This window comes from Homo sapiens, chromosome 19 (genome assembly GCF_000001405.40).
Source record: "Homo sapiens chromosome 19, GRCh38.p14 Primary Assembly".
Taxonomy (NCBI): Eukaryota; Metazoa; Chordata; class Mammalia; order Primates; family Hominidae; genus Homo; species Homo sapiens.
The window spans coordinates 12,573,664-12,587,468 of record NC_000019.10 but is presented as its reverse complement, the minus strand read 5'-3'; the positions used below and the strand labels follow the sequence as shown (position 1 = coordinate 12,587,468).

At 46.0% G+C, this 13,805-nt stretch overlaps 1 protein-coding gene across 1 annotated transcript in view, besides 1 other annotated feature; it reads left to right on the top strand.

The window, feature by feature from the left end:
* The window catches only part of ZNF490 (zinc finger protein 490), a 34,714-nt gene extending 23,345 nt beyond the window's left edge, over positions 1 to 11,369 (top strand). Inside the window, exons 3-5 of the mRNA NM_020714.3 lie at positions 3,913 to 4,039; positions 4,559 to 4,619; positions 5,745 to 11,369. Of these exons, the coding sequence (NP_065765.1) occupies positions 3,913 to 4,039; positions 4,559 to 4,619; positions 5,745 to 6,984 (1,428 nt within the window). The 3' untranslated portion in view covers positions 6,985 to 11,369. The remainder of the gene's footprint in view (positions 1 to 3,912; positions 4,040 to 4,558; positions 4,620 to 5,744) is intronic.
* Positions 6,346 to 7,545: an enhancer, noted in NCBI's record as "P300/CBP strongly-dependent group 1 enhancer chr19:12690738-12691937 (GRCh37/hg19 assembly coordinates)". NCBI's record gives its function as "activates an origin of replication core promoter dependent on BRD2, BRD4, P300/CBP, MED14 and CDK7 cofactors, with strong dependence on P300/CBP, by STARR-seq in HCT116 cells {active_cell/tissue: HCT116}" and the evidence as "EXISTENCE:reporter gene assay evidence [ECO:0000049][PMID:35650434]".
* Positions 11,370 to 13,805: the final 2,436 nt, after the last annotated feature.

Below are 13,805 nucleotides of genomic sequence, written 5' to 3'. Positions count from 1 at the left end.
CCAATCTTTGTGATATATTTAAAGTGGATTTGTTGGCCTAGGTATGGTGGCTCGCACCTGTAATCCCAGCATTTTGGGAGGCTGAGGCAGGATGATTGCTTGAGGCCAGGAGTTTGAGACAAGCCTGGGCAACATAGTGAGACCCCATCTCTATAAAAAGAAACAAAATTATCAAGGGATGGTAGTGCACACCTGTAGTTCCAGCTACTCAGAGGCTGAGGTGAGAGTCCTTTGAGCCCAGGAGTTTGAGGTTATAGTCATCTGTCATCCCACAACTGCACTCCAGCCTGGGTGACAGAGCATGGCCCTGTCTCTAAAAAACAAAGTAAAAAAAAAAAAAAAAGCGAATTTCTTGCAGACAACATATATTAGGTATTCTTTTTTCTTTTTCTTTTTTTTTTTTTGAGATGGAGTTTTATTCCTGTTGCCCAGGCTGGAGAGCCATGGCGCGATCTCGCCTCACTGCAACCTCTGCCTCCCAAGTTCAAGTGATTCTCCTGCCTCGTGAGTAGCTGGGATTACAGGCATGTGCCGCTGCACCTGACTAATTTTGTATTTTTAGTAGAGACAGGGTTTCTCCATGTTGGTCAGGCTGGTCTTGAACTCCTGACCTCAAGAGGTCCTCCTGCCTCGGCCTCCCAAAGTTCTGGGATTACAGGCGTGAGCCACGCCTGGCCAGGTGTTCTTTTTTATCCACTATGACAGTATCAGTGAGCTGAGATTGTGTCACTGCAATCCAGCCTAGGCAACAGAGTAAGACTCTGTCTCAAAAAAAAAAGAAAAGAAATAAATTTCTGGTCTGATAATTCCAGCATCTCTTTTATATCTCAGTCTGGTTCTGATGCCTGCACTCTCTCTTCAAACCGTCTAAGTCTTTTAATATATCTTGTAATTTTTGTTGAGATCTGGGCATGGTGTTGAAAAGGAACTGAGGTAAACAGGCTTTAAATGTGAGGGTTTAGGTTTATCCTGTTGATTTTAGGCTGTGTTTACTATTTTCAGTAACTGTAGGTGTCAGATAAAATTGCCTTTGGTGTCCCTGGTTTTCTGTGTTCTGTCATTTTTGGGGTTCTCTAGAGATTTCTTCAATTGTGAAACATGCAGAAAGAAATAGAATATTGTTTCATTGTATTCTACTGTTTTATTTTATTTTATTTTATTTTATTTTTTGAGGTGGAGTTTCGCTCTGTCGCCCAGGCTGGAGTGCAGGGGCACGATCTTGGCTCACTGCAACCTCTGCCTCCCAGGTTTAAGCGATTCTCTTCCCTCAGCCTCCCAAGTAGCCGGGATTACAGGTGCCCACCACACCCGGCAAATTTTTGTATTTTTAGTAGAGATGGGGTTTTGCTATGTTGGCCAGGCTGGTCTCAAACTCCTGATGTCAAGTGATCTGCCCGCCCCCCGCCTCCCAAAGTGCTGGGATTACAGTCGTGAGCCACCACACCTGGCCTGTTCTACTGTTTTAAAACAAAAACCCAGGCCAGGAGTGGTGACTCATTCCTGTAATCCTAGCATTTTGGGAGGCCAAGGCAGGCAAATTACTTGAGGTAGGAGTTCGACACCATCCTGGCCAACATGAAGAAACACCCTGTCTCTACTAAAAATACAAAAATTAGCTGGGTGTGGTTGTGTATGCCTGTAATCCCAGCTACTCTGTTGGCTGAGGCAGGAGAACTGCTTGAATGCTGGAGGCAGGGGTTGTAGTGAGCCAAGATTGCACCACTGCACTCCAGCCTGGGTGACAGAGCGAGACTGGGTCTCAAAATAAAAACAAAACTCTAATGTCACACTGTTACCAGTGGCTGGAGTGGAAACATGATATAATCCTATGAATCATCTGTCTTCTGGTGAGCCTGTGCCCCGAGCCATGATGTTCTTTGCTATGATAAGAAAGACATTTGTTTGGTCTTTGTGTGTGGTTCCTAGTACAGAGTTCCTAAATCTCTTGGAATTTCATGAGTGATAAGGGTAATGGACCCTCTCTTGTTGTAAATAAATGACTACTGGAAAGAATGCCTACCTAACTTCAGGGTGGGGATTGATGTCCCGAAAGACACCCAGTCTTGATCTTCCTCTAGCCCTAGCCCCCAAAGTCGGGGGAGAGAAAAAGGGCTGGAGGTTTAGTGCTTGGACTCCTGACCTCAAATGATCTGCCCACCTCTGCCTCCCAAAGTGCTGGGATTATAGGCGTGAGCCACCCCGCCTGGCTTTTGACTGCTCACAGCTTTAAAACCTCATTCCTCAGTTTCCACTGTGTACCCCACATATGGACGTGGTAGGAAGAAAGCCTGGGTCACCCTCATTTGGTGCTGGCGACAGAGCCAATTCGCATCAGCCTCCACCTGTATGCTTGAACTCACACTAGCCCACTCCCTAATGTCAGTAAAAATCCCCAGCCAGGCTCCTTTTCTTGCTCTCCGAAGCCACTTCACAAGTGCTTGAGAGTTACACAGCTTTGCCTGAGAGCTCAAGCATGCGAGTAATAAACCTTCATGAGTACAGGGGTTTATAGAGGTCCAAGTTGCTGTGCTTTCTTTCCAATAACCTCCTAGACCCATGAAATGAGACAGAAAGGAAAAACTGAACCTATGATAAATATTACACAAACACGTTGAAATTAATACTAATGCAGAAGAATATTTTCATTCAGCCACCTGGATTTGCATGGTTCTAATGGCCCGAGATCCTTCAGGGCAACATGGCCAGTGACTTCTGGCTTTTCACAGACTTCCTGATCTCTCATGTTGTTTATGAAAAAGAAAAATACACAGTTTTTCATCCTCAATGGGAGATGTGCAGCTTATAGTCTAAAGGGTGTATTCATTTATTAAAATCTCATCCAGATTTGACCCCAAGTTTCATGAAATGCTGAGTGGTACAGTATGTAATAAGGTAGAAAATGAAAGAGTTTTTCTCACGAGGAATTGATGATCTTACAATTTGTTTCATTTGTACAGCATTTCTCTCATATATCCAAGATGGTCTTGGGTCTGTATTTAAAGAGCAATAAGGTGGCCGGGCGCGGTGGCTCACGCCTGTAATCCCAGCACTTTGGGAGGCCGAGGGGGGCGATTCACGAGGTCAGGAGATCAAGACCATCCTGGCTAACATGGTGAAACCCCGTCTCTACTAAAAATACAAAAAATTAGCTGGGCGTGGTGGCACGCGCCTGTAGTCCCAGCTACTTGGGAGGTTGGGGCAGGATAATCACTGGAACCTGGGAGGAGGAGGTTGCAGTGAGCCAAGATCGCACCATTGCACTCCAGCCTGAGCAACAGAGCAAGACTCCATCTCAAAAAAAATAAAAAGAAAAAGAACAATAAGGCTTCAAGTGATCACAGTTAAAATATAGAAATAATGGCAGGGTGCGGTGGCTCACGCCTGTAATCCCAGCACTCTGGGAGGCCGAGGCGGGCGGATCACGAGGTCAGGAGATGGAAACCATCTTGGCTAACACGGTGAAACTCTGTCTCTACTAAAAATACAAAAAATTAGCTGGGTGTGGTGGTGGGCGCCTGTAGTCCCAGCTACTCGGGAGGCTGAGACAGGAGAATGGTGTGAACCCAGGAGGCGGAGCTTTCAGTGAGCCGACATTGTGCCACTGCACTCCAGCCTGGGCGACAGAGCAAGAATGTTTCAAAAAAAAAAAAAAAAAAATATATATATATATATATATAGAGAGAGAGAGAGAGAGAGAGAGAGAGAGAGAGAGCGCAATAATTTTTGTATGTTCACGATAGTGTTAAATTTATGAGGAAGTGAGTATGGAAAGAGTCAAGAGTTCTGACAACCAAGTTATACCACTAAACCGAGACTACAGGATTATATGGAATTTCTCAGGAATTCTGAGAATGGATCCTCACTACTGCGAATCTCTCTCCTCCTCCTAAACACACATGGGGGATGTTTTAGGACTCCATCTCCCTTGAGGATGTGGCTGTGAACTTCACCCTGGAGGAGTGGGCTTTGCTGGATCCTGGCCAGAGGAATATCTACAGAGATGTGATGCGGGCAACCTTCAAGAACCTGGCCTGTATAGGTAAGGGTGACATAATTTCTCTACTTAATTAAGGAGGGAACAGGTGTTTCTTGCACAACAACTGAGTTCCAAGGTTTAAAATGGGGGAAGGGGCCAGGCACGGTGGCTCGCGCCTGTAATCCCAGTGCTTTGGGAGGCTGAGGCGGGCGGATTAAGAGGTCAGGAGTCTGAGACCAGCCTGACCAACATGGTGAAACCCTGTCTCTACTAAAAATAAAAAATTAGCCAGGCCTGGTGGCAGGTGCCTGTAATTCTGGCTACTCAGGAGGCTGAGGCAGGAGAATTGCTTGAACCCGGGAGGCCGAGGTTGCAGTGAGCTGAGACCGCGCCATTGCACTCCAGCCTGGGCAACAGCGAGACTCTGTCTCAAAAAAAAAAAAAAAATGTGGGAAGAGAATACTTTAGTAAGTAGATCAGACAGTGTCATAGCTAATCAATAGCTAATCATGGATCTTAGAGTGTTATAATTTTCTATAATTTCTAATAATTTATTGTGAGTTCTCTGGGCTTGTATTTTAGGGGAAAAATGGAAAGACCAGGATATTGAAGATGAACACAAAAACCAGGGAAGAAATCTAAGGTGAGTTGCATTCACAAATAATTATATAGCCCCTGAGAGAATCTTAGTATTTCATAAATTTCAAAAGCCAAGCAAGCAAAACAATAAGCAGAGTTTCAGGTTTATTCATTCTTAGAAAATTTTTACTGAAGGTGTTTCATTGAAACTGTCATGGGCAGCCAGGCGTGGTGGCTCATGTCTGTAATCCCAGCACTTTGGGAGGCTGAGGCCAGTGGATCATGAGATCAGGAGATCGAGACCATCCTGGCCAACATGATGAAACCCTGTCTCTACTAAAAATACAAAAAATTAGCCGGGCGTGGTGGCGTGCACCTATAGTCCCAGCTACTCGGGAGGCTGAGGCAGGAGAATCGCTTGAACCTGGGAGGTGGAGGTTGCAGTGAGCTGAGATCGATCCACTGCACTGCAGCCTGGTGACAGAGCGAGACTCCGTCTAAAAAAACAACAGAAACTGTCATTGGCTGGGTAAGGTAGCGAATACCTCTAATCCCAGCCTTTGGTAGGTGAAGGCTGGAGAATTGCTTGAGGCCAGGAGTTCAACACCAGCCTGGTCAACATAGTGAAAACCTGTCTCTACAGGAAAAAAAAAAAAGCAATAGATGTTCAGGGTGTGAGAAGAAATCACTATGAAACAGCATTTAAAAATCCTGGCTGGGCGCAGTGGCTCACGCCTGTAATCCCAGCACTTTGGGAGGCTGAGGCGAGCGGATCACCTGAGGTCAGGAGTTTGAGACCCCGTCTCTACTAAAAAAGATATAAAATTAGCGGGGCGTGGTGGTGCATGTCTGCAATCCCAGCTACTTGGGAGGCTGAGGCAGGAGAATCACTTGAACCCAGGAGGCGGAGGTTGCAGTGAGCTGAGATCACGCCACTGCACTCCAGCCTGGGCAACAGAGAGACTCCGTCTCAAAAATAATAATAATAATTTTTTTTTAACTATTTTGATAATAGCTATGGTCACGGCCTGTTCTAGACTATTGAGTATATTAGCTTTCAAAACAATTTAGACAGGGCAGATAACATACAGTTTCTGTGAAAATATTTAAAATGTAATTCTGGTACTTGCTAATAAATATAAGATCATTAATACAAAACTATTAATAATACGGTACTCATTCTTTACAGAAGTCCTATGGTTGAAGCACTCTGTGAAAATAAAGAAGATTGTCCATGTGGAAAAAGCACTAGCCAGATTCCTGATCTTAATACGAACCTGGAAACTCCTACTGGATTAAAACCATGTGACTGCAGTGTGTGTGGGGAAGTCTTCATGCATCAGGTCTCCCTTAATAGGCACATGAGATCTCACACTGAACAGAAACCAAATGAGTGTCACGAATATGGAGAGAAGCCACATAAATGCAAAGAATGTGGGAAAACCTTCACTCGCAGCTCCAGTATTCGAACCCATGAAAGAATTCACACTGGAGAGAAACCCTATGAATGTAAGGAATGTGGCAAAGCCTTCGCATTTCTCTTTTCCTTTCGAAACCATATAAGAATTCATACTGGAGAGACACCCTATGAATGTAAGGAATGTGGGAAGGCATTCAGATATCTCACTGCTCTTCGGCGCCATGAAAAAAATCACACTGGAGAGAAACCCTACAAATGTAAACAGTGTGGAAAAGCCTTTATATATTACCAGCCTTTTCTAACCCACGAAAGGACTCACACTGGAGAGAAACCTTATGAATGTAAGCAATGTGGGAAAGCCTTCAGTTGTCCCACGTACTTACGGAGTCATGAGAAAACTCATACTGGAGAGAAACCTTTTGTATGTAGGGAATGTGGGAGAGCCTTCTTTTCTCACTCAAGCCTTCGAAAACACGTGAAAACCCACACCGGAGTTCAACCTTATACATGTAAGAAATGTGGGGAAGCCTTCAAGTCATCTAGTTCCTGTGAAGTGCACGAAAGAACTCATTTTGGAGAAAAACCCTATGAATGTAAACAATGTGGTAAAGCCTTCAATTCTTCAAGTTACCTTCAGTTGCACGAAAGAGTTCACACTGGCGAGAAAACTTACGAATGTAAAGAATGTGGTAAAGCCTTTCTTTATTCCACTCACTTTCGAATCCATGAAAGAACCCATACTAGAGAGAAACCCTATGAATGCAAACAGTGTGGTCGGGTCTTCATTTACTTCAGTCACCTTCGAAGGCACGAAAGAAGTCACACTGGAGTGAAACCATGTGAGTGTAAGCAGTGTGGCAAAGCTTTCACTTGTTTAAATTCCCTGAAAGTACACAAAAGAATTCATACTGGAGAAAGACCCTTTCAGTGTAGACAATGTGGTAAAGCCTTCAGTTACTCAAAGTCTTTGCACGTGCACGAAAGGACTCATAGTAGACAGAAGCCCTAAGAAAGTAAAGTGTGGTAATGCTGTCAGTTGTATTAGTTCCTTTTGGATGTATGAGAGTACTTACGCTGGAGAGAAATTCAAGGAATGTAAACGGTGTGATTAAGCCTTCAGTTGTCCTAATTCCCTTTGAAGACGTGACTCATGCGGCAATGAAATATTTAACAAATGGGGGAGGAACTTGCACTCTCCTGCGGGATTGCAGATATGTGAATGGACTCCATGGACAGAAAAGCTACGAATGTATGGAGTGTAGGAAAGCCTTCACTTCACGTAATCTTTTAAAGACACCTGAGAATATATACTGGAGAGAAACTATAAAGAAAATTCTATATCCATCCCATCTTTTGTGGGGTTTGTTTTTTGTTTTTGTTTTTGTTGAGATGTAATTTTGCTCTTGTTGCCCAGGCTGGAGTGCAGTGGTGCGATCGCGGCTCACCGCAACCTCCGCCTCCCGGATTCAAGCAATTCTCCTGCCGCAGCCTCCCAAGAAGCTGGGATTACAGGCATGCGCCACCACGCCTGGCTAATTTTGTAATTTTAGTAGAGATGGGGTTTCTCCATGTTGGTCAGGCTGGTCTCAAACTCCTGACCTCAGGTGATCTGCCTGCCTCGGCCTCCCAAAGTGCTGGGATTACAGGTGTGAGCCACAGCACCCAACCTTTTTTTCCCCGCCGCACCCCAAGATGGTGTCTCACTCTGTTGCCCCAGGCTGGAGTGCAGTGGTGTGATCCTGGCTCACTGTAACCTCTGGGTTCAAGCAATTCTTCTGCCTCAGCCTTCCAAGTAGCTGGGATTACAAGTGCCCACCACCATGCCCAGCTAATTTTTATATTTTTAGTAGAGACAGTGTTTCACCATGTTGACCAGGCTGATCTTAAACTCTTGACCTCAAATGATCCACCCACCTTGGCCTCCCAAATTGTTCGTTTTACTTTTTTTTTTTTTTTTTTTTGAGCTGGAGTCTTACTCTGTTGCCTAGGCTGGAGTGAAAGTGGCGCAACCTCTGCCTCCCAGGTCAAAGCAATCCTGCCTCAGGCCCCCTAGTAGCTGGCATTACAGGCACATGCCACCACGCCCAACTAATTTTTATATTTTTAGTAGAGACGGGGTTTCACCATGTTGGCCAGGCTGGTCTTGAACTCCTGACCTCAGGTAATCCACCTGCCTTGGCCTCCCAAAGTGCTGGGATTACAGGCGTGAGCCACCACACCCGGCCCCCAGTTCTTTTTTTTTTTTTTTGAGACGGAGTCCTTGCCCAGGCTGGAGTGCAGTGGCGCGATCTCAGCTCACTGCAAGCTCCGCCTCCTGGGTTCACGCCATTCTCCTGCCTCAGCCTCCCGAGTAGCTGGGACTACAGGCGCCCGCCACCACGCCCGGCTCATTTTTTGTATTTTTAGTGGAGACGGGGTTTCACCGTGTTAGCCAGGATAGTCTTGATCTCCTGACCTCGTGATCCGCCCTCCTCGGCCTCCCAAAGTGCTGGGATTATAGGCGTGAGCCACCGCGCCCGGCCTCCAGTTCATTTTAAAACCATGAAACCACCCACACTGGAGAGCCACCTTCTTAAATGTAAGCAATATGGGAACATCTTCAATGACATCTGCAACCATTGTCGAGATTCTTCGTAGGAAGAATTAAAGGAATGGGGAAGAAGGACTTGGGCCCCAGCAGGCCTTTTGTGGCATCCAGTCAGAAGTTAGGAAACACCCTCTAGGGCAGTGCCTGCCCTCAGCTCTCACACATGACTGGAGAGAAGTGAGAAGACTCCCAGAATCTGCCTTTTAAGTTTCCATCAGTGTCCTCGGGTCAGACTGTGGGAATGCTGTACTTCTAAGACAAAGGTTCGCATCTTACAGTTTTTCCCCAAGTGGGATCTGCCTATGCACATCCTAATTCACAGACATTGTCAGCATTGCATTATTCCAGGGCTGTTTTGAGGTCATCTCCAGCTCCATTTCCCATCTCAAACCTACACTTTGGACACTTGTTTAAACATTCACATCTGAATTTCTCTGTGGCAACCGCAGGTGGCTCTGAGGTGAGAGACTGAAGAAGCAGAGCCTGTATCATGGGACACACACCCCTTGACCACACAGCATCCACTCTCCTGCGGTTACCAGCCCTGCACCAACCACCACAGTCAGAATAATCTCAAAACTGCTAGTGGAGTCACAGACACACTCTGCCATGTCTTAGCTGTAGGACACTCAGAATTCTTACCTCCCCTAACTTGCTTTCCCTGTTTTCTGGCACATTCTACCCTGAGATATTCAGCGGCATATGCACTGATGATGCTCCGGCCTTCTCACGTCAGTGCATGTCACATGCATCCTGCTCCAGGACTGGTTTCCTAGCCTCCCGCTAAGACTAGCACTTAGCTCTTCTTGGAAAAGGACCCACCCTGCAGCGCTCCAGCTCTGTTGTGTATGGGAGGTGCTGGTGTCAGGGTTCACAAGCCATGGAACTACCTTGCTTCACATCACAAGGCAAGGTGAACTCAACTCCCAATAAACTGCTTGCTGGAGCCTCCGAATTCTCCGTTTTCTGAATTGCATAGGCACGATAGGGGTCGGGTCTGTCCTTTGTTGGAGTCAGTCCCCCCTTTTCTTAGCAAGTCAGTGTGTTTTAGAAGGGAGGTGGCAGCATTGAGGGAAACCAGGTCACCATCCACCCTCGTAACAACAGTCTCCCTGGGTGGGTCCCAGAAGTGATCTTTGTGTCGCTCGGGTCGGAACTCTTTAGGCCTCTGGCCTCCACCCTCCCCCAACAGCAGGGATGGGTCAGGTGGCAGCATCCAAAACCACGGTGAAGATACTAGGGTCCAGAGGCCGACTGGAGCAAGGTTTGCTGGCAGATGAGGCCTCAGTGGAAGTGACGGCTACTGTGGAGATGCAGTGGAGGACCTGGTGGCTGAGCCAGGAGATGCACACCTTCGCTTCTCTCACCAGGAACATTCGCTTCTCTCACCAGGAACATTTATGGTAGTATGAGGGGTTGGAACATTATTACTCAACCCATTTCAGGTCCTTTCACATTCTTGAGCTGCCATGTTGTGCTTTTGTAGAGAGATGATTATTGTACTGTGGGAGGTCAGGAAGTTCGAGATTCCTTCACTGTCAGAATGGGCTCAAGGAGCCATCTTTTGTGATAGGTATTGGGGAACTAAGGGGTATCTCTGCTACAGGAATGGGAGTGAGAACATTCACTTTTTGAAGGACAAGTATATGTGGGTCTATGATGATGTTTTTGTAAAACCCTTTTGTGTATGTGTCTGTGTGAGTCCTAATATTCAGTAAGTATTTTCCTCTGTGTAACTCCCTCTAATAGGTGTAGTCAACAAAGCTGTGCTAATATCTCTGTCCCCTTGATCCTGGCATTCTGGAAGACACGAAAGCAAGCAAGGATATATAAGGCACTGTGGTGGTTATTCCCGAGGAGCCAGAGAAACCTGGAGAAGAGATCAGAACACCTGGGGTCCTTCTATTTGGGAGAATCTTTTAGTATCTGGGCTGTTACACCTGTGGGTTTGTGAATTTGTGTCTGTCCACCTGTATGTACAGTGATAACGTGTGTGATTTTTGTATATTTGTCTAGAGGGCTGTGTGTATATATATTTATATATATTTTTAAATATGGAATGCTTTTAGGTTTTTTTTTTTTTTTTTTTTTTTGAGATGGATTCTCACTGTTGCCAGGCTGGAGTGCAGTGGCACAATCTTGGCTCACTGCAACCTCCACTTCTCAGGTTCAAGCAATTCTCCTGCCTCAGCCTCCTGAGTAGCTGGGACTATAGGCGCGTGCCACCACAACCAGCTAAATTTTTTTGTATTTTTAGTAGAGATGGGGTTTCACCATGTTGACCAGGATGGTCTCAATCTCCTGACCTTGTGATCCACCCACCTCGGTCTCCCCAAAGTGCTGGGATTACAGGCGTGAGCCACTCTGCCTGGCTGGTTATTTTGTTTGTTTGTTGTTTTTTTGAGACACAGTCTCGCTCTGTCACCAAGCTGGACTGCAGTGGCATGATCTCGGCTCACTGCAATCTCTGCCTCCCAGGTTCAAGCAATTCTCCTGTTTCAGCCTCCTGAGTAGCTGGGATTACAGGCGCGTGCCACCATACCGAGCTAGTTTTTTTATTTTTAGTAGAGACGGGGTTTCACCATGTTGGCCAGGATGGTCTCGCCCTCCTGACCTTGTGATCTGCCTGCCTCGGCCTCTCAAAGTGCTGGGATTAGAGGCTTGAGCCACCAGGCCCGGCTGGAATGCTTGCATTTTCTTGCCTGATTTCCCTGGGAGCACCCCCCTTAACACTGAATGGAGCTGGTGAGAGCAAATATCCTTGTTTCTGATATTAGATATTAAAAATATGGTTTTTCACCATCAAAGATTTTATTGAGTTTTTCATATATGCCTTGTAGCAATTTGAGTAAATTATATTCCTTGTTTGTTGCAGATTTTTAATCATAAATGGGTGTTGAATTATGTCATGCTTTTTTGCATCAATTGAGACTGTCATTTTTCCGTCATTTCCTAATGTGGTGTATTCCACTGATCAATTTCCATATGGTGAACCATCCTTACATTCCAGGGACAAATCTCACTTGGTTATATTGCATAATGCTTTGAATATATTGCTTTATATGCTTTGCTGGCATTTATTTCAAGATTTTTGCATCAGTACTCATAAGGGACAGGAATGCCATCTTCCTTGCTCTCACGCCATGTCACACTTGCTTGAGAGCCCTGCATTGTTCTCTCTGATACCTCATTTTTGTAATAAGCCTTTTCATACTCTCGGTGTGTGTGTGCACCACATAGCTCTCGGTGTCAACCTCTGAAGCACACCTTTTCAGGCAACCGTAACAGTTGGCACTGTCAGCAGGATGTCTAGATGTTGGTCACCATGCAATGGGTCAGCTTTCCCTTTCTCTCAGGTGCTAACCTGCTCTGCTACCTGGTGGCCAGCATGCTCTTTGAGCTGCTGCTGCTTGCTGCTCTGTGTTCCATTGCTGAGGCCGAACAAACTTGTGTTCCAGATTTAGCCAACCGAAGATGGCAGTTTCTATAAGTCTTTGGCATTTAGGAGCAGGAGTATCGGATTTGGGCCCTCCTTAAAATGGTCTGGGCTAGGAGTTTTCACTTTGCCTTTCTATGTAGAATGAAGCTGGGACTGATGCTAGGTGTTGGCCTTGTCCTGTAGGTCTGGTGGTGGGGGCTGGTGGTGAGATTTTATCTTGTGCATGTTGGGGCCCCATTAGTGGTCATTCCTGAAAGAGCAGTCATTTGAAAATGAGAAAGAGCCTGGCGCAGTGGTGGTGGCTCACGCTTGTAATCCCACCACTTTGGGAGGCCAAGGCAGACAGATCACCTGAGGTCAGAAGTTTGAGACCAGCCTGGCCATTATGGTGAAACCCCATCTCTACTAAAAATACAAAAATTAGCTGGGCATAGTGGTGGACGCCTGTAATGCCAGCTACTCGGGAGGCTGAGGCAGTAGAATCTCTTGAACCTGGGAGGCAGAGGTTGCAGTGAGCCGAGATCGCACCACTGCACTCCAGCCTGGGCGACAGAGTAAGACTCCGTCTCAAAAAAAAAAAAAAAAAAGTGAGAAAGAAGGCTAGGCGTGGTGGTTTACACCTGTAATCACAGCTACTCAGGAGACTGAGGCAGGAGTATCACTTGAACCTGGGAGGTGGAGGTTGCGGTGAGCTAAGATTGCCCTACTGCACATAAACCTGGGCAGCAGAGCGAGACTCCATCTCAAAAAAAAGAAAAAAGAAAAAATGCGAAAGAAGAGAAGGTGGGGAAGCTACCATTAGATGGTGTCCTGAAGTTCACACTCAGCTGGACCTTTAAGTACCTCTGCTGCTGCCGCTGCCCATGCCTCTATCTCAACAGAGACCCTGATCCTCTGGGTTATAAGGGACAACCCCTGTGGCATTCCTGTAGCTCAACAAACGTATTCAAACCTGAATAAATCCCAGTATCCTTAAATTATGTAAAGCATCTGTTGTCATCCAGGAAATTCCTGCTAGGGTTTCAATGTCTTCTCCATAGTTATTGAAATATGGTCCAGTGTAGTGGTTTTAGGCCTAGTGGGAGGTGTTTAAGTCATAGGGTAGATGCCTCATGAAAGACTTCATGCTCTTCTCATTAGTAAAATCTTGTTCAGGCTGCATCTGGAGAGGGTTTCACCTGCCTACATTTGCGGCAGAAAGCAGAAGGGGAACCAGCGTGTGCAGAGATCACGTGGTGAGACAGGAAGTAAGAGGACATCAAGGAAGACAGACCCTTTAATAACCTACTCTCGTGGGAACCATTCCTGTGAAAGCAATAACAGAAGGGCGTTAATCTATTGTGATGGAGTTGCCTTTTTGACCCAAACACCTGCCACCTGGCCGCACCTCTCAAAACAGCTGCTTTGGAGATCAGATGTCAACGTGAGGCCAGGCATAGTAGCTCACACCTGTAATGCCAGTGCTTTAGGACACAAGGTGGGAGCATTACTTGATCCCAGGAAGTTGAGACCAGCCTGGTCAGCATAGCTAGGCCCCATTTAATTAATTTATTTATTTATTTATAGATGGAGTCTCCCTGTTGCCCAGGCTGGAGGCGCGATCTCGGCTCACTGCAATCTCCGCCTCCCGGGTTAAAATTTTTAATTTTAACATCTCTGTAATGCACTAACTGACAATCCTTCATGGGATTAATCAATCCCAGGAATCAGTTATATCTAGGAGTCCCACTAAATGTAAGAAGGTACACTCTATAATTTATTTATTTATTTATTTTGAGACAGAGTCTTGCTCTATGGCCCAGGC